At 38.2% G+C, this 21,524-nt stretch overlaps 1 annotated feature.

Moving 5' to 3' along the window:
• Positions 13,628-14,129: an enhancer, noted in NCBI's record as "H3K27ac hESC enhancer chr4:17164733-17165234 (GRCh37/hg19 assembly coordinates)". NCBI's record gives its function as "activates a minimal SCP1, AML or CMV promoter by ChIP-STARR-seq in primed H9 embryonic stem cells {active_cell/tissue: H9 hESC(primed)}" and the evidence as "EXISTENCE:reporter gene assay evidence [ECO:0000049][PMID:30033119]".

Consider the following 21,524-nt stretch of genomic DNA (forward strand, 5'->3'; position numbering starts at 1 on the left):
TGGGGAAGAAATTGGACATTGATGGACACTGGTATGCCCAACCACGAGAGACTCTTAAGAGTTCCCAACATACCTCTCTTTATAGCGAATTACTAGAAATCCACAATCACCCTTCACCGACCACTGCCTCACACCATCCATTGGGAAGTCATCAGTTAATACAATTTAATTCCTTACATTGTCACAAGGCTGTAACTTATTTGACTTGGGAGTCTTAAATCCCCTAATCCAAGATACACCATTCTGATTATCTTTCCCAGAATTGGAACACAGGTTTTGGGTGTTTCTGCATATGTCCTTAAATTTAAGGATACTACTTTTCCGCTTAAGTGAGCTCAAGTTTATTTCTATTCCTTCATGGCCTTCATATTTACATTTACAAATGTAAATAGCCAGCTCAGAATGAAGGACTGACAGGCATAGACATTCCTCAGGTAAATTAAATAGGGTTTGTTTATTTTAAAGATTCAGAAGAAAGTTAATAAAGTCAGAATTCATAGCAAACAGATTAGCAACATTCTCCGGGAGACACTGGGATGCAAACTTCTAGATCCTAAAGTCCTCCTTCTGGAGCCTCACATCTGAAGGAGAGTGAGGATCTCATCAGAACTTGTAGAAGTCCAAATACATCTCTCTAAAGACTCTGCTTTATCACAAAAGCTGTCCTGTGTGCAGCCTGGTTTGGATGCTTTCTGGAGATCCCCTCATCTAAGGCAGATTCATCTAATTAATCTCAATACCATATAATAGACACCATGCTTACCCAGAGTGCAGTGCAATTCTTTAAGCTCAGGGAAATGTTTAAGCAGCTTCTGAAGGGACACTGCTCAGATGGAGTCACAGGCTACGGAGGCCTCAGTCAAGCAGGACTTTCGCCTTCACCATTACAGACACTTGAATTCTAAGGGGCAAGAATGAAATAGAAAACAAGGTTAAAATTCAACCTTCAAAGTTTTTTGCTAAGCCAAATGGGGTCGAGTGCTGATATTCAAAATGCACAAGGCTTTCTTTTTTTTTTCTAAGAACACTTGTGGTCGAGAATAAAAGGTCATATCTTAAATCTCTTTAGTGACAATTGCTCGCATGCCATCAGAATACACTTAACTCCAACTGTCCTTTCATTGTATCTTCCTTAAGAGGAGTAATGCTATTTTAATCACAATTCAGTCACAGGAGTTGAGCACCATCTTACTGAAATGGGATGGAAATTAACGACAATCATCTCAAACAGAAGTTTAACAACAATTTATTCTGCTTAGGGACCTGAGCGAAGTAGTAGACAGAAGAGATAGAAATAATCAAAAATGGCAAAGGGTAAAATTTAAAGGACTTTACTTTCTTAAAAGACTCATAAAATTTGAATTTCAAACAGTTATAAACATATTATGTACCTTTTTTCTTAATATTATAACTTGATTTCTTATTATAGTAACATTTGCTTATTGCAAAAATACTTTAAAAATACAGATAAGAGGCCAGGCGTGGTGGCTCACACCTGTAATCCCAGCACTTTGGGAGACCCAGACGGGAGGATCACCTGAGGTCAGGAGTTCAAGACCAGCCTGGCCAATATGGCAAAACCCCATCTCTACTAAATATCCAAAAAAAAAAAATTAGCTGGGCATGGCGGCGGGCACCTGTAATTCTAGCTATTCAGGAGGCTGAGGCAGGAGAATCGCTTGAACCCAGGAGGCGGAGGTTGCAGTGAGCCAAGATTGCGCCATTGCACTCCAGCCTAGGTGATAAGAGCGAAACTCCGTCTCAAAAAAAAAAAATATGGATAAGAAAAAGGAGAAAATAAAAATCATCTATCGTCCTGCTAACCAGAGAGATTCTGTTGACCCTATATGTGCGTATGTATCTGTCCACATCCACATCTATCTTATCTATATCTCTATGCAAACAGATATACACAGAGACACACATACAAACACATATTTACACGCAATTTTTACAAGCTGTATTGTCATTTTAAACTCTTAACAGAACATGTTAATTGTAAGAATACTACTATTCATTGATATCTTGTTCTCTTCTCCTTGCAAGACTTACTTCCCTGTCCTTTGAGGTGCGATGTAGCCATTGACTTTGTCAAATTAAAATTTAAGTTGAAGTGACATATGTCACTTTGAAGTAGAAGCATTTTAGTAGTAGTGACTATCTGATTTGCCTTTTTCCTGCTGTGACATGGAGATGGAAATATAAGAGATTTTCCCATAAGAAGGAGATATCTTGAAATGCTAAACCAACATGTGGAGGGATGAGAACTGCCCTTAAGGGTCACCCAGTTTCGGGCCATTGTGTAAGGCACTGAGAACTTTGGAATTCTTCTCACACTAGATTATGCCTATCTCCATTTATCTAGTTTATTCTAACCAGTAAAATTTTTAGCATTGTTCTGATATTAAATATTCTACAAAATCACTCAAATGGCTAAATTATACATCATAATGTGCAAGTGGCATAATTTATTCAGCCAATTTTTTAGTGTTGCATATTTATTTCCATTTTATAAGTTTTTATAAACAATATGGTAAGAAATATATTTTAGTTAAATTTTTGCTCATATTTATGTTATTTTCTTAAGCTGCAATCATAAATTGAGGAAAGTCGTTGTTCAAAAGATACACAAAACCATCAGTTTTCTTATGTATAGCGTCAAATCACCCTCAAAAAGACTGTTGACAGCATCATCAATGGCATAAAGAATACATGATTTCTCTGTTTGGTATAAATATTCTATTTACCTACCTACCCTACTTTTGCCAAATTTAAAGGTGAAAATGGTGCCTTATTTTTTTAATTGTAATTCCATGAGTCAAATATTTTTTCATAGTTGTATAAGTTATTTGTATTTCTTCTCTTGTGAATTGTGTTTTCATTATTTTCTCATTGATTTCCTAATATCATTTATTGAATAATACTTTTCTTAAATGCTTATTCATGCCTCGAGTTTGCAAAAAGGCCTGACAGTGGGCTTTAATTCTGCCCTACTGATCAGTCCATCCATTCCCATATCATCACCAGGCTGTTTTAATTATTGCATCTTTAGACTTGTCAATATCTTATATAATATCTTGCTATTGTTTTTGACATTTTTTTGCCTATTTTTAAATATTTATTTTTCAATTTAAACTTTTAAAAATTCTACTGGGATTTTCATCTTTTCCAGGAACATTATTCAAGTCTTATTTAATAACATGTCCTTCATTAATTCATTCAACAAATGTTTATTGAGCACTTAATATGAGCCAGGAATTATTTTAGGTACTGAATATAAAGAACAAATAGAATTCCTTGCCCTTATGGAGCTTATATTCTAGTGAGATAGAGATTAAGACAATGAATAAGATAAGTAAGTGCAACAGAGAATGTTAAATAGTAGACAGAGCTAAATAAAAAAAATAAAGTTGGAAGGGGGCTTTTGAAATAGCATTGTTGGTGGGTTTCAATTCAAGTTCTCCAGGAAGCCAAAGTTAGAACAGAATCAGACATGTAAGAGATGCGTTGTGGGGTGTGAAAGTTGTAGATAACAAGATGAAATCACTTTTATCAGACCCAGACAAAATAAGGCTGGGAAGGCATGAAGGAGAGGAAGCGCATGCTTACATGCCTGAGATAAAAACCTTTCACAGGACTTTCTAAAAACCCCCGTAGAAACCCTTTCACCTTCACGTATCTCCTGCTTTGATAAGATTTATTACCAGACATTCTTTAGGACTGCAGTAAATCAGGTAAGATTCTCTCAGAACACGTGCCCAGTAAATGGGAAATCCACCAATGAACTGACAGCAATCCTGGCTTTGAATCTCTGGAAACAATAAACTTTGTTTCTAAGCATCTTATTTAAATTCCTTTTTGCTAATGCAAGCTTCCTTTACCCTTCCCTGGTGGTTTGCCATTCCATGCATTCCAGATTATAATCCTGATTTCTTATTCCTGAGTAAACCCAACACATTTAAAGATAATTTTCTCTAGTGTCTTTTTTAGGTTGTGGGGTAGGTGGCGGGGGAGCCTGAGAAAAATATAGGAGAGAACACAGGAAAAGGCAGGAACACCGTCAGCCACTGATGAAATCTGACATTCATAAAGAAGGAAAGGAATAAACCTCAAATGTCTTATTGAGAAAAAGAGGGGAGAGGGAAAGGACAAGAAATGGGTTGGGGGAGGAAATGGGTAAAAATAGCCTCACACTGCTGTGCAGCCGAGAAAATCTCACCCAGCTGATGGGGAGCCTAGGCCAAAGATTTCGCAATGGAGGATTTCCACCTCTGGTAGAAATAGCCATGTGCTGGTACCCAGTCGCTCTTGCTCATTGACTGGGAGCATCCCGGGGAGGGCGTGGCCTTTACATGGTAGGCGGTATTGGAGCCAAGCAGGTTCTCTTTCCATGGCCACCACAATGGGATAAAGTTTTGAAATTTTAAATAGGTTGATTTTGAAATGTAGTACACATACTTGCCCATTTATTATTTAATTATAATTATTCCATAATATTGACTGATGTTATAAAGAGGGTGGGACTTTTCCATGTCATTTGAAAATTAATTATTGCTAGTAGGCAGGAAACCTACATTTTGGATATTTATTTTTTCTAAACTGCCACCTTCCTGAACTCTTATTAATTTATTTGCTTCTTTGGTTGAGATTTTCATATTTTTAAGAACATCATCACACATAGTTTTGTCTCCCGTTTTGAATTATTCTGCTTTATTTCTTATCTTTTTGCCAAATCAGGGTTGATGACTGTGGATATGTTCATGTTCATGGGAATCCCTTTCAGTTTTATCATTAAAGGATATTACGCTGGATGTCCTATGCCAACACATGAGAAAAAAATATACATATATATTCTTTGGTCAATTTCCTAAGAAATTCTAAATTACCAAAATTAACTTAGGAAATTGATCTGGGAACATTTTTTCACATCTTGCTATAGAACTGTAGATAATGTATTCACACATTTTCCACCTCCTCTCTAATACATGATATATCTTATCATTTCTAGTGTTTGTGGTTGTGCTTTTACTTGTTTTTTTTTTTTTTTCATTAGACTTCAAGAAGTTTCTTTCTTTTACGGGATGTTTTTTTCAAAGAATCAGCTCTTGAAAGTGTCTATCATTTCTGCATCTTTCTCTTTTATAATTTATTAATTTCTGCTTTTATCTTCAACAATCCTTGATTCATTCTCTGCATAATTGAATTTTATTTTTCACAGGCTTTTAAAAGAGAAAAAGTGAGAACTGTTGTGCCTTTTCTAGCCACATCTCTAATCATAGTTATAATCATCACATATTGCAGGTAACATGGGGTTACAGTCGAGGATGTAGATTGTCTGCTATGTATTTCCTGGGTTCATATCCCAGATATACTTTTGTCAACTGTGGGACATGGACCAGCAGTTTCCGCATGTGTAAAATAAGGATTATTATTGTAATAAAATTTAGCTCATAGGGTTACTGTGAAGATTACTTGAGCTAATATTTGTAAAGCTTTCAAAACAGGGGTTGGCACACAGTAACTGCTATGTAATACATGCATAAATTACATTTATGCAGTACTTTATTCTTTACAAAACATCTTCACATTAATTTTCTCCCTTAGTTATAACAATCCCATGAGACAAACAATACTCATCATTACTTTTCCTATGATAAAACTGGAATGCCAATGAGTCAACTTAAATTAGTGGATGGAAGAGACAGCTCTTATGATTCTGGGATCAGCATGTGGCTTGAAGCCCAAATGACCTCTTTAGTTTAGGGTTTGTTGGGACACAGACAGAAAAGTCCGTGTTTAGCTCAGCTTTAGGCACTGGCAACAGTCACAGATTTTGAGACCCTCAGCTGGATGGTCAACAGCTCAAGACTGGGACCAGCAGCTGGAACAACTGTCAAGAAGAGCTTTAAGGTGCCAGGCTCCTGGACAAGTGAAGCCACCCTCGGCAGGAAGGTGGGACAGGACCTGGTTGAAGTGCAGGAGATGTGGGTTCTTATCCTGGTCTTGCCTCTGTCTTACTGAGTAAGTGTAAACAAGGCACTTTGCCCTGCCACATCTCCATTTTCTCAAATACAAAACAGGGAAAATAATTTCTGCCCAGCCTCCTCCACATGGCCCCTACAGGATTCAGAGGATGCTGCTGGCAGTGCAGCACTTTGAAAGTTTATGAAGTTTTCCACATAGGCAAGATGCTGTACATGTCTAAGATCTCTCCCCTCCCACTTTCTTTGCTTACACAACCAGGAAGTGAAAAGCAGATGTGGAAACCACTCTCAAACTTTGTGCCAGACCCTCAAATCTTGTGCCTAGGAAATGTCCTCCAACTTTCCCTCACACCAACAGCATCATTATCTTGGCATAGAAGAAAAAAAATCTATACATCTCTTCAAATAGACATCTAATTTCCAATTGGCTTCACCTGGAATGTGAACCATAGGAAACAGACCACAACCAAATTTTCCACAAGCACTGTTTTCCATGCACACCCAAAACCAAGCAGGAAAGAGAGGAAATGGAAAATTCCCCTGGGCACTTAGCTCTTCATTACATTGTAAGAGTGTGAACTACCTGGGGAAAATAATCAAATTTAGGGGAGAAGGAGATTAATCCAATTCTGGTTCACATTACCAGAACTGTTTCTATAACTATATATTTCTCCAGATTCTAGGAACTGTCCACTGAAATCATTTTACATTTTAAATCCATTGTATTTAGGTTTTGTCTTTCCCCTACAAGAACTGAATCTATCTATAAACTAACTACCTAGTATTTTCTTGGTGAGTAGCCACTTTTATTTTCCTAAAGTGTACAGGATGGAAATTTGAAGAAGATGTGCAAATCACAACTACAAGGCAGGCAAGTGAGTAGGGGAGGCTTCTACCCTTTCTTCTGTTCCTAATAGAACCCCCTTAAAGCTCAAGAAAGAGATGTAAGCAGCTAGACATTAGAGTTCTTCCTTCTTTTGCAAGGAAAAAAGGGGGAGGGGAAGAGAGAGAGAGACTGATTTTCTGAGCACTGACAGGCTTTGTCCTTGATGAATTTCATTCTTCCTTTGTTCTATGTGTGTAAGAAGGAGGGAGAGAATTAGAAGAAAGAGTGACAAAGAAATTGACATCCAATGGGTATGCAAAAGAGACCCTGGCTGAACTTACCATTTGAGGGCAGGGCGCCAATGATCTGTGGCCACCCGTAGATGCCAGTTATACCCTACTCAGGCTAGGAAAGGACCCACAGAGCAAAAGAACTATCTCCCAAGAGTTCCTGTGAATTAAGGTTGCTCTTAGCCAAATTTAGTACATGTCCCTAACAAAGGAAGGTTATTATCAGGCCCAGCTGCTCTGCCCTCATCAGACATAGAGAAGTATGTAGAGTTCAGGGCCAGCAAGCGATGAAAGGGAACCAGTGATTAGTGGGTAGCCACCAAGTGTCAGATACTTGTTAATAGACACACACAGACACACATAAAATCTCATTTAACCCAGTAGAAAGTTAGTTTCGGGATGGTAAAGGATTTTGCCTATTTTGTTCACTGTTATAGCCCTAGTGCATTGACACATAGCAAGTGCACAAGAAATATTTGTGAAATGAATAAATGGATTGTCACAACCCTATAGATATAAAATAATTACCAATCTTGTTTTAAGATGAGGCAGCTAAGTTTCAGAAATGTTGGGGAGTAGATGAGCTAGGATTCAAACCTAGCTATGTCTGGAATCCACAGCCAATGCCTCTCAGGACCCCTTGCTGTTCTCACATAACAAACTGAAATGTATACAGAACAAAGTGTGGCCAGGGTCTTAAAATCACATTCCATAAAGAATCATTGGAGAACTGAAGCATTTATCTGTGAAAAGGAACATCATAAACTAACAAGTCATGGAGAGGCTCCTCCCCTTTCTGGAGTTTTGTTCCTCATTCGTGAGATGAAGGTTTTGGACTAGATCAGAGAACAAATAATTGACATATGTACCATGACTCTGCCCTCCTATGACAGACATTACTCGTTGATTACAGTACTCTTTCCCACCGAATTTGGATGCAATTTCATAAATATTCTCAACAGCACTCCATGCAACCCCACCCATGATTAAAATTGGCATGCATAATAAAGGCTGTTTGATTTCTCTAGACTAGATCATCTCTAATGTCCCTCGAATTTATTTATTTTTTAGGAGTTTTTTATTACTTTATTTTTCAAATGGTTTCTAATGTTAGCCTCATGAGTTATTCCATATACAGTCACTCTCTACATAACAACATTAATGTCAATGAAGACCACATATACAGCAGGGGTCCCATAAGATTATAATACCATATTTTTACTGCACCTTTTCCGTGTTTATTTTTTATCTCCATTTATAATTTTTTTTAATTTCCATAGGTTATTGGGGAACAGGTGGTGTTTGGTTACATAAGTTCTTTAGTGGTGATTTGTGAGATTTTGGTGCACCCATCACCTGAGCAGTACACATTGCACCCTATTTGTAGGTTTTTATCCCACACCCCCCTTCCACCCTTTTCTCCCAAGTCTCCAAAGTCCATTGTATCATTCTTATGCCTTTGCGTCCTCATAGCTTAGTTCCCACATATCAGTGAGAACATACAATGTTTGGCTTTCCATTCCTGAGTTACTCTACTTAGAATAATAATCTCCAATTTCATCCAGGTCACTGTGCATGCCATTAATTCATTCCTTTTTATGGCTGAGCACTAGTCCGTCATATATATATACATATACATACACGCACACACAGAGTATATATATGTGTATATATACACCATAAGTGTAATACATACAGAAATCGTATATATACTGTTTCTTTATCCACTTGATGGGCATTTGAGTTTATTCCACGTTTTTGCAATTGCAAATTGTGCTGCTATAAACATGCATATGCAAGTGTCTTTTTCATATAATGACTTCTTTTCCTCTGTGTAGATACCCAGTAGTGAGATTGCTGGATCAAATGGTAGTTCTACTTTTAGTTCTTTAAGGAATCTCCACACTGTTTTCCATAGCGGTTGCACTAGTTTACATTCCCACCAGCAGTATAGAAGCGTTCCCTGATCACCGCATCCATGCCAACATCTACTGTTTTTTGATTTTTTTAAATTATGGCCATTCTTGTAGGAGTTATGTGGTATTACATTGTGGCTTTGATTTGCATTTCCCTGATCATTAGTGATGTTGAGCATTTTTTCATATGTTTGTTGGCCATTTGGATATCTTCTTTTGAGAATTGTCTATTCATGTCCTTAGCCCACTTTTTGATGTAATTGTTTGTTTTTTTCTTGCTGATTTGTTTGAGTTCATTGTAGATTCTGGATGTTAGTCCTTTGTCCCATGTATAGATTATGAAGATTTTCTCCCACTCTGTGTGTTGTCTGTTTACTCTGCTGACTGTTCCTTTTGCTGCGCAAAAGCTCTTTAGTTTAATTAAGTCCCAGCTATTTATATTTGTTTTATTGTATTTGCTTTTGGGTTCTCAGTCAAGAAATCCTTACCTAAGCCAATTTCTAGAAGGGTTTTTCCAATGTTATCTTCTAGAGTTTTTATAGTTTCAGGTCTTAGATTTAAGTCCGTAATCTATCTCGAGTTGATTTTTACATAAGGTGAGAAATGAGGATCCAGTTTTATTCTCCTACATGCAGCTAGCCAATTATCCCAGCACTATTTGTTGAAAAGAGTGCCCTTTCCCCACTTACGTTTTTGTTTGCTTTGTCAAAGATCAGTTGGCTGTAAGTATTTGGGTTTATTTCTGGGTTCTCTACTCTGCTCCATTGGTCAATGTGCATATTTTTATTCCAGTACCATGCTATTTTGTTGACTATGGCCTTATAGTATAGTTTGAAATCAGGTAATATGATGCCTCCAGATTTGTTCTTTTAGCTTAGTCTTGCTTTGGCTATGCAGGCTCTTTTTAGATTCCATATGAATTTTAGAATTGTTTTTTCTAATTCTGTGAAGAATGATAGTGGTATTTTGATGGGAATTGTGTTGAATTTGTAGATTTCTTTTGGCAGTATGGTCATTTTCACAATATTGATTCTACCCTTCCATGAGCATGGGATGTGTTTCCGTTTGTTTGTTCATCTAGGATTTCTCTCAGCAGTGTTTTGTAGTTTTCCTTGTAGAGGTCTTCCACCCCCTTGGTTAGGTATATTTCTAAGTATTGTATTTTATTTTATTTTTTGCAGCTATTTTACGAGGGATTGAATTCTTGATTTGATTCTCTGCTTGGTTGTTCTTGGTGCATAGAAGAGGTACTGATTTGTGTACATTAATTTTGTATCCAGAAATTTTGCTGAATTCTTTTATCAGTTCTAGGGGCTTTCTGGAGGAGTCTTTAGGGTTTTTGAGGTAGAGGATCATATCATCAGCAAACAATGACAATTTGACTTCCTCTACCAATTTGGATGCCCTTTATTTCTTTCTCTTGTCTGATTGCTCTGGATAGGACTTCTAGTACTATGTTGAAGAGGAGTGGTGAGAGTGAGCATCCTTGTCTTTTTCCAGTTCTTAGAGGGAACACTTTCAACTTTTCCCCATTCAGTATTATGCTGGCTGTGGGTTTGTCATAGATGGCTTTTATTACATTGAAGTGTGTCCCTTGTATGCCAATTTTGCTGAGAGTTTTAATCATAAAGGGATGCTGAATTTTGTTGAATGCTTTTTCTCCATCTATTGAGGTGATCATGTGATTTTTGTTTTTAATTCTGTTTATGTGGTGTATCACACTTATTGACTTGCATATGTTTAACCATCCCTGGTATGAAACCCATTTGAACATGGTTGATTATCTTTTTGATATGTTGTTGGATTCAGTCAGCTAGTATTTGTTTAAGGAGTTTAGCATCTATGTTCATTGGGAATATTGGTCTGTAGTTTTCTTTTTTTGGTTATGTCCTTTCTTAGTTTTGGTATAGGGGTGATACTGGCTTCATAGAATGATTTAGGGACGGTTCCCTCTTTCTCTATCTCATGAAATAGTGTCAATAGCATTGGCACCAATACTTCTTTGAATGTCTAGTAGAATTCTGCTATGAATCCATCTGGTCCTGGATTTTTTTTTTTTTGGTTGGTAGTTTTTAAATTACCATTACAATCTCACTGCTTGTTATTGGTCTGTTCAGGGTATCTAATTCTTTCTGATTTAAGCTAGGAGGGTTGGGTTGTATTTTTCCAGGAATTTATCCATCTCTTCTAGGTTTTTCTAGTTTATGCATGTAAAGGTGTTCATAGTAATCTTGCATGATCTTTCATATTTTTGTGGTATCAGTTGTAATATCTCCTGTTTTGTTTCTTATTGAGCTTATCTGGATTTTCTCTCTTGTTTTCTTGGTTAATCTTGCTAACGGTCTATCAGTTTTATTTATCTTTTCAAAGAACCAGCTTTTTGTTTCATTTATCTTTTGTATTTTTTTGTTTCAATTTCATTTAGTTCTGCTTTGATCTTGGTTATTTCCTTTCTTCTGCTGGGTTTGGGTTTGGTTTGTTCATGTTTCTCTAGTTCCTTGAGGTGTGACCTTAGATTGTCTGTTTGTGCTCTTTCAGTCTTTTTGATGTAGGCGTTTAGGGCTATGCACTCTCCATTAGCATCACTTTTGCTGTGTCCCAGGGGTTTTGATAGGTTTTATCACTATTGCTATTCAGTTCAAATAATTTTTTTATTTCCATCTTGACTTCATTTTTGACCCAATGCTCATTCAGGAGCAGGTTGTTTAATTTTCATGTATTTGCATGGTTTTGAAGGTTTTTTTTGGAGTTGATTTCCTTTTTTATTCCACTGTGGTCTGAGAGAGTACTTGATACAATTCCAACTATCTTACATTTATTGAGGCTCATTTTGTGGTCTATTACATGGTCTATCTTGGGGAAAATTCCATGTGCCATTGAATAGAATGTATATTCTGCAGTTGTTTGATGGAATGTTCTGTATATATCTGTTAAGTCCATTTGTCCCAGGGTATAGTTTAAATCTATTGTTTCTTTGTTGACTTTCTGTCTTGATGACCTGTCCAGTGCTGTCAGTGGAGTATTTAAGTCCCCATTATTACTATGTTGCTGTCTATCTCATTTCTCAAGTCTATTAGCAATTGTTTTATAAATTTGAGAGCTTCAGTGTAGATGCAAATATGTTTAGGATTGTGATATTTTCCTGTTGGACAAGGCCTTTTACCAATAATGTCCCTCTTTGTCTTTTTAAACTGGTGTTGCTTTACAGTTTGTTTTGTCTGATATAAAAATAGCTATTCCTGCTCACTTTTGGTGTTCACTTGCATGAAATGTCTTTTTCCACCCCTTTACCTTAGGTTTATGTGAGTCATTATGTGTTAGGTGAGTCTCTTGAAGGCAGCAGATAGTTGGTTGGTTAATTCTTATCCATTCTGCAGTTCTGTATCTTTTAAGCGGAGCATTTAGGCCATTTATATTCAATGTTAGTATTGAGATATGAGATACCATTCCACTCATAGTGCTATCTGTTGCCTGTCATTTTTTGTTTTTGTTTTTTAAATTGTATTTTTGTTGTAAAAGTCCTGTGAGATTTATGCTTTAAAGAGGTTCTGTTGTGATATGCTTCCAGGATTTGTTTCAAGATATAGAGCCCCTTTTAGCAGTCCTTGCAGTGGCGGCTTTGTAGTGGCGAATTCTCTCAGCATTTGTTTGTCTGAAAACGACTGTATGTTTCCTTCATATATGAAGCTTAGTTTTGCTGGATACAAAATTCTTGGCTGATAATTGTTTTGTTTGAGGAAGCAGAAGGTAGGGTCACAATCTCTTCTAGTTTATAGGGCATCTGCTGAGAAATCTGTGATAATCTGAAAGGTTTTCCTTTATAGGTTACCTGGTGCCTTTGCCTCTTAAGATTCTTTCCTTCATCTTAACTTTAGATAACCTGATGACAATGTGCCTAGGTGATGATCTTTTTGCAACGAATTTCCCAGGTGTTCTTTGTGCTTCTTTATTTGCATGCCTAGGTGTCTAGCAAGGCCAAGGAAGTTTTCCTCAATTATTCCCCTAAATATGTTTTCCAAACTTTTAGATTTCTCTTCTTCCTCAGGAACACCAATTATTCCTAGGTTTGGTCATTTAACATAATCCCAGATTTCTTGGAGGATTTGTTCACATTTTCTTTTTCTTTTTTCCTTGTTTTTGTTAGATTGGGTTAATTCAAAGACCTTGTCTTTAAGCTATGAATTTCTTTCTTCTACTTGTTCAGTTCTATTGCTGAGACTTTCCAGAGCATTTTCCATTTCTGTGTGTCCATTATTTCCTGAAGTTTTGATTGTTTTTTATTTATGTTATCTATTTCATTGAATATTTCTCCCTTCACCTCGTATCATTTTCTTGATTTCTTTACATTGGGCTTCACCTTTCTCTGGTGCCTCCCTGATTATCTTAATAACTAACCTCCTGAATTCTTTTTCAGGTAAATCAGGGATTTTTTCTTGGTTAGGATCCACTGCTGGTGAGCTAGTGTGATTTTTTTGGGGTGGGGGGAGGGGTTAAAAGCCCTGTTTTGTCACATTACCAGAGTTGGTTTTCTGGTTCCTTCTCATTTGGGTAGGCTCTGTCAGAGGGAAGGTCTAGGGCTGAAGGCTGTTGTTCAGATTCTTTTGTCCCATGGGGTGTTCCTTGATGTAGTACTCTCCCCCTTTTCCTATGAATGTGCTTCCTGGGAGCTGAGCTGTAGTGATTGTTATCTTTCTTCTGGATCTAGCCACCCAGGGAGTCTACCAGGCTCTGGGCTACTACTGGGGGCTGTCTGCACAGAGTCCTGTGATGTGAACCATCTGTGGGTCTCTCAGCCATGGATACCAGCACCTGTTCCAGTGTGGGTGGCAGGGTGGTCAAATGGACTCTGTGTGGGTTCTTAGCTTTGGTGGTTTAATGCACTATTTTTGTGCTGATTGGCTTCCTGCCGGGAGGTGGCGTTTTCCAGAGAGCATCAGCTGTGGTAGTATGGAGAAAAACATGGTGGGTGGGGCCCTAGAACTTCCAAGAGTATATGCCCTTTGTCTTAGTTACCAGGATGAGTACGAAAGGACCATTGGGTGGGGGCAGGCCTAGGCATGTCTGAGCTCACACTCTCCTTGGGTGGGTCTTGCTGCAGCTGCTGTAGGGGATGGGGGTGAGGTTCCCAGATCAACAGAGTTATGTTCCTAGGAGGACTGTGGCTATCTCTACTGTGTCATGCAGGTTGTCAGGGAAGTGGGGGATAGCCAGCAGTTACAGACCTCACCCAGCTCCTGTACAACCCAGAGTGCCAGTCTTACTCCCAACAGCACCAATCCTGTTTCCAGGCAGTGGGTGAGCAGGGCTAAGAACTTGCCCCAGGCTACCTGCCTCCCAGCTGCGAAAGCAAGTATGGATTTCCTTCTTCCCCAGTCAGTGGAATCTGCACACTGGATTCACACCCTTCCCCAAGTTCTGACCAGGAGGCTTCTTGATCAGTTCAAATTGTTACAATGTTCAGCTGGAAATTTCCTTCTCCCTGTGGCCTTTTCCCAGTGCCTCTGGCAGCCCTCCCAAAGGATTCCTGTGAAGCCAGGTAGGAATGACCAGCTTGGGGACCCAGCGAGCTCACAGGGCCTTTTCCACTGCTTCCTCTACTTCTGTACCTCGCTTGGCTCTCTAAATTGGCTGAGCTCCAGATAAAGCCAAAATCTTCTCCCGTAATCTAGACCTTCAGTTTCCCCAGTGGGGATGTGTGTTTAGAGGTAAACAATCTCCCTTCCCCACTCCTGCAGTTTGGGCACTCAGCATATTTGGGGTATCTCCTGGGTCCTGCAGGAGCAATCTGCTTCCTTCGGAGGGTCTGTGGCCCCCTCGGGTTTCCTAGTTTATTCCTGCAGTCGTTCTGTAGCTAAAATTCATGATGCGAGCCTCCATACACTGCTCTGTCCATCTGAGTCAGAGCTGCAATCTAGTCCTGCCCCTTGTCTGCCATGATTCCCCTTTTTCTCGTCTCAAATTTGTTTAATTTGTTTTTGTCCATGAATTCATCACTGTTTCTATCTTGCTCTGTATATTGTTTATCACAGAAGAGATGATGAGCAATGGAAGCCTCCAATCTTCCCTGAGAGCAGTAGCATAAAAACCATGTAGCCTCTGGACTCTGGGTTTATTCAAATAGAATCTTCTATTAAAATCACATTCCAGATAGGAAAAAAAAAAGTTTTAACTACAACTGATCTAAATATTGTTGACAGAAGACCCCCTCCTCTAAAACTGAGACAATGCCTATTACAAAGACTACATTTCAAAAGTTAAAAGTAAGCTAAAGTAAAAAGTTGGGACAGAGTTTAGATTTAAGGCTTTGGCCCATGGATTGGCTTGTAGTCAATATTTTCTTGAGTTACACATACAGTGAAGATTGCCACGAATAAGATGACACATTGAAAATAACATTATCTGAGCAGCGTCATGTCTGGATTTTAGCCAAGCTCAAGAAATATAAAATAAGGTTATTTCTATATGGTAGCCTCACTGCTGGGTATCTGGCTTTTAATGGTTTAGTGAGAAGATTTCATATTGATTTTTTTTCAAGTTTACTTTTTAATAACACAAATAACCTTCAGTAACTCATGAGGTATTCCATTAATGCCATAAAAGTACAAAATTTGAATTTCTGGTTTAGAAGTTCTCACATTTCATAGAATGCAAATGTTAGATGCATTTATGCAATCACAAATGCAACTAAGGTCATTGGTGGCAAACAACAGAAAGCAACTCTGGTTGATTTACACAGGAAGGGAATGAATAAATGGTGTTGGGATGTTCAAGGAATGGATCTGAAGGCAGAGGAACTAGGCTCAAGAGTCTGTGAGCAGAGCCAGGATCCTGCCCCATCACTACCGGCCATGTGCTCCCTCCCAACCCATTCCATGCTGCTAGACTCATTTGCCCTGGACATTCACTCTACACCAGTGATCTCCTGAGTCCAGCACAGATGCCATGGATAATGTCTCTTCACATCATTCTCTCATTATTCAAAGTCCTAGACAGAAGCTTCTTCTTACTCACACTCAAGTTTTGGCCCTGGATCTAGCTGTTAGCCAGTAGAGACAGGAAATACTTGCCCCCTCCTTGGGCTTCTGCTCAAATAGGAAAGTATCCAGAAGCTGGGGAATCAAAATGACTAAAGTTTGTTAAAATAAAATACCCAAATGAATACAAAGTGAATATTTCATGTCAGTGAAATACCCAAATAACAAAGAACTGTAATTTATTGAGGTGACTTTCTTCCAGGCAATGCACTATGTGCAATATATAATATATTGCGTACTTCTAGGCAATACACTATGTATAGTATATAATATATATAATTTCCATCTCATTTAATCCCTCATAGCACCCCTAATGAGACAGGTATTATCATATTAAGGACAAGGAAAGAGTAACATGCTCAGGGTCACAGAGCTATTGAGCATCAGAGCCAGAATTTAAAGGAAAGCCTTTCTGAAACAAACACCAGTTCCTCTAACCACTGAACTACACAGTCTCTCCATGAGTATTGCCACTGTGGGTTGGCTCAGGGTTTGCACTTACAAGGCATATGATGCATGTTTATTTTGGCATTTCCTTTCAGTAGACATTCAGTGAGTTTCCACCACCTATAAGCCACCATCTTAAGCACCATGGGTGGATATAAACATGAGTAAAGTACACATCGGTCACTAACTGCAATATGGAGAATGACAAAATCCCTGCAAGTGACAAATAAAAGATAAGTCATACCCTGAGGGCAAGGATTGTGTCTTTCTTGCTTACTGTCTATCCTTAGTACTTAGCATGGTGCCTGGACATAGCAGACTCTCAGTAAGTATTTAATAAATGAATAAAAATAATTAACATTTATTATGCACTTACTATGAGCCACGCACCCTGCCAAACCTCCTGTGAGGTACTTACAATGATTAATCTCCACTGTGTATCCTACCTAGGATCACATGTGAGTAAGGGGCATACAAAACCATGCAGACTGTACTTTACTGGGGGTGAGAGCTTCAGCTTGAGGTCGGCAACCAGACAGCATGCTGGCTATAGCAATCTGGGCTCCACATCTGTACCCCTTGGCTTTCATAAGAAGAAAAGGCATCTTGTTCAATGGCTCTGTTAAGAGAAAAGAAATTGCTTTCCCAGAATTTTCCCACAGATCCCCCCTTTGCATCTAACTGCCAGGAATTGGTCATATACTTATTCCTAAATTGGGTCCTGTAGCCAAAGTGAAGTCATGAGCTGATTGGCCTCGGCCAAAATGGCCAGTCCAATCAGGTCCAGAGAAGTATTAAGAGGGCTATTAAATAGTATTAAGAGGGTTCTGATGATTCTTAATAGGGTCAAGCCCTGCAGCTGGAGGTTGGTTCAACTTCCCCTGGAGCATATGGGCTATTGGGAGATGGGTAGCTACCTGAAAATAAGTGGAACTACTCTCAGGAAGGGGAAATGGACAGATGGATGCTCTATCGGTAACTGAATATGTCCACTATGACCTCCCTCTTTAAATTCCTACAGGCCCCCGCAGCTCTCAGAATGAAGTCTGAATGCGTCAGCAAAGCACACAACGTTCTTCACCACTTGCCTTCAGCCTGATTTTCCAGGCTTACTTCCAAACCTTGCAGGTCTCCTCCCCTGGTTTCCTAGAACTATTCACTCTCCTCTGAAAGCATGCCCTGCCCTTCCCCTTGCCTTTGCCCATGTGGTCTTGTGCCCGGAAAACTTTTCAGCTCTCAGATAACATGGCAGCTCCTCCTCTCAGCACCACGTCCTGCCTACTCCTTTGGGTGAACTGCTACCCAGTGTCTCAGGGGCCCCCAGGAGACAGTCTGCAAGGGCAAGCCTCCCTCACCAGGCTGCAGTGGTGCCTTCCTTGTCTTTGAATAAAGCAAGAAAATGAAAAGTCATCTGAATGAGTGAATGAATCCTAATGCAATATACTGTCTCAATTTCTTGAGCTTTTCCTTCCCAACCCTTATCACAATTGAAATTACATATTCATTGACATAATCATTTGTTTGGTATCTGTTTCCCCCCATAAAAATATAAGCTGTCTGGGGGCAGGAACCATGTCTCTTGTTCACTCCTGTACCTACCACAGTGTCTGACACATCTCAAGGGTTTAATAAATATCTGTTGAATGAATATAACATCCAGAATATAAAGCTGCCTAAAAACTGCACACACTATTTTTTCCATTGTATCTTTTCTTCAACAAGGAAATAATATGGCTCATAGGAATGAAGAAGAAACCTAAGCTTTATTCCAGACAGCTTTTCACGGCTTTGATTGCTGGAAAGAGGCAAAACCCCAAGTCACATGATTTTGTATTTAGAATATTAATTTTCCCTAGGTCATGCAGAAACAGCGATACTTTCCTTAATGAAATGCTCTTGTACTAGTTTCTATTTGTATGCAAAACACATCATTGGTTTAACATATTGAGACAATCTCCCCTACCCATGCACACCCATATCTGCCTAGCCGAAGAAGGGGAAAGGCTTCTGATTTATTACACATAAACAAAATGAATAAGATAACATTTTATTAGTTAGAAACCATTATAAAAACAGCAATAAAATGGGGCAGTACAAGTGGAAGACGCCCTTATCAATAAATCCTCAGAAGTTTAGGACCCTGGTGCATGTTGTAATAATAAAAAAGATAATTAAAAGGATCGAATTGCACAGCTGTATCATTTTATCAAGAAGCAGCCCTCTAACAATAGAAAACATCAGGGCAGTAACAGTTGGTGAGTCTCTAACCTTTTTAAAAAGGAAAGGTATTTGAGATTCAAGTTGTTTTAGCTATTGTGAGAAGAATCCATGTTTACGTTGTGTCGCATTGAAACATGCAAATCCAGGCAAGAAATGGCTTTCCTTTAAAATCAGTATCTTTATGAGTCTTGTTTCTTGTGCTGAGCAGTAACTGGCTTTATTAAATTAGCCATATCCATCCTATCAATTATAGCTGATATTATAACTAACAACTGTAGGTGAGAAAGACAGTTTCCTTACTTTTTGTCTAAGAAAGTCTTGGGTTTTCTTCCCTTGACTGAGAATCTTCATTTTGTCTTAGAAAATCCTTATGACACATTGCAAATACTTTTTATACAAAGACATCACAAGGAAACACAGAAACCTCAGAGCTTTTTCATTTCCCAGAGAGCTGTAGTCAGTTTTTAGAAAGTAAATTGTGTCCTCTACCCTCCCCTCAACTCCCTCCAGGTCAATGTTTCCCCTCCCCCATCCTGGTCAGTTTAATATGAGTCACTGCCTGGGCTTTGTTGTATGGAATAAAATAACATATTCTCCTGGGAGTCAGTTCATGCAAAACACTCCCTGCTGAGAGTGGAAATTTACCCATAAGACATTCTTCCAGCAGCAAGCCCCTGGAGGAAACCTGACCAGAATGTTTAAAGACTTGAGGAGCTCGGTCTCCTTAACTCCCTCAAAATTTCTCAGAGAAAAAAAAAAACACACACACACACATATTTAAGGTTTATAACACCTGGTGACAAAAGACACAGTGAGATATGATGTTATTTAGAAAGAAAACTGAAAATGAGTAGATTATTTCCAATATTTCGTCTGCCACTCTGTCTTCTACCACGATTTCTATTCTTTCTATTCTCCCTTCCCATTTTGGTTTATGGTCACTCTGCAGTCGTTCCATTGATCAATGCATGAACTCTTTCTTTTAACAACTGCCACATACTCAATAAGTTACTTTAAGCCAAGTAGCTATTATTTTGCAACATATTTATAAACTCTGATATATTTTCTGTAGTGTAAATGACATCGATTTACCACTAAAATAATACATGTGTTCATAAATGCATAAATCACAAGAAAGCTTAGTTGGGACTTATAAAAAGTCTTGAAACAAGCCCATCTTTGTAAAACATACACATATACATAATATAATTAATAATGTAATATACACACATACTATAGATACAGATACTTTTTTTTTTAATAGTAAAGCTAAGGATCATGAAAGAACATGGAAATGGAAGCCCAGCCCAAGAACTTTGCCTCTCCTTCATCAACATTTACCAAATGGTGATGCAAACAAATCAGAAGAAATATAAATTTCACCGAAGGCAGCTCCCATCTTACAGAGGGCCTAGACAAAGCTGGTAAGAACCGGCTGTCTTGAAAAGGCATCAGAAGAGATTTACTTGATGGCCCCTGGGCTAGACATTGTGTCATCTTTTCTTTTTATTAAGAACTTGTTATCTAGGTTTTCAAAAGTGTACTTATAATACACTTTACTAAATAGTTTGTAGAGTTGCACAATGTATGCCTGTATAAAAACCCTGTTAAAAATTTCAAAGTTTGCAAACTGGAAGAATAAGTGAGTGGCTCATTTAATTTATTTTAATCAGTTATATCAGGAAAATGCAATTATATTGAAGGGAACCCTTTGCAGAAGCAGAGAGCAATTAGGTTTTGCGTGCAGAGTACTTTTTTTTTTAAAGCCCATGTCTGCAGCATTAAAGAAAAGCATAATGTCAATCATCTTGATTTCAAATTCCTTTAGTGCAGTCCTTAAACAGTGCAAAAATTATAGAAAGCTAAAGCTATTTTTGTCAAGATTGTGTGCAGCTGTTTTCTGCAATTCTTGAACATTCTTGATATAAATGTGTTTCCAAAGGTACCCGTTTTTAAAAGTAAAAATTACTGCAGTAATGCTCTTAACCTTATTTTAAATAGACATTTTCACATCATCTCTTAAAGAGAAAAACTTACCAAAGAGGCCCCTTGAGTGAGCTAAAGTTTCACTAAATTTAAGTAATGGGATTTCCCTGCTCATTAACATCATCTTATGCAAAAGAGTAGCTTAAAACTTGACAAGTAGATGGCAACAGTGCAAAATGGCAGCCTATTTAAAGGGAATTTGTTAAATTGTCGAAGATGTGGGTGGGAGACAGGTTAAGAAAATTTTATAACAAGTACTGCACTTCCAAAGACAAGTCTAAAATTCTAACCTCAGGAAGGGCAGGGATCTCTCTCTCTCTTTCTCTCTCTGCTTTCAGGGCTTTGGGCAGCTTTAAAGTGAAGCCAATGCATTTCACAAGTAAAAACAATCATGTTTCCTTTCTGCCTAATGTAAATAAATCAACTTTGAGCTCAATATTGAGTTGAAATCTCTTAAGATATAGTGACTTATAACCTGTCCAGATATGATTAACAAAGACCTTTGATTAAAAATGGGAATATAGGTGGCAAGTGACAGGTAGATCCCTGGAGCTCACTGTGCAACTTCTCATTGTTTCATGTATTCTTAGATTTGGGTCATTTTCCGTTCTGTAACATGGGAACTTGTGTAAATTTCATTATTATTAGAAATTCAACCAGTGGCTTGAAACTTTGAGCAAATACTTCAAGTCTCATGGAAGAAATGAATCACCTAAAAGTACAGTGTCAGCTTCATAACACATGCAACCCCTAGCTTAGAAAGGTACTGCATTTTCCAGAAGTTCATTGGTAAGCTGATAGTTTAGTATTCAGAATGCATT

Source organism: Homo sapiens, chromosome 4 (genome assembly GCF_000001405.40).
Source record: "Homo sapiens chromosome 4, GRCh38.p14 Primary Assembly".
In the NCBI taxonomy this organism is placed as follows: domain Eukaryota; kingdom Metazoa; phylum Chordata; class Mammalia; order Primates; family Hominidae; genus Homo; species Homo sapiens.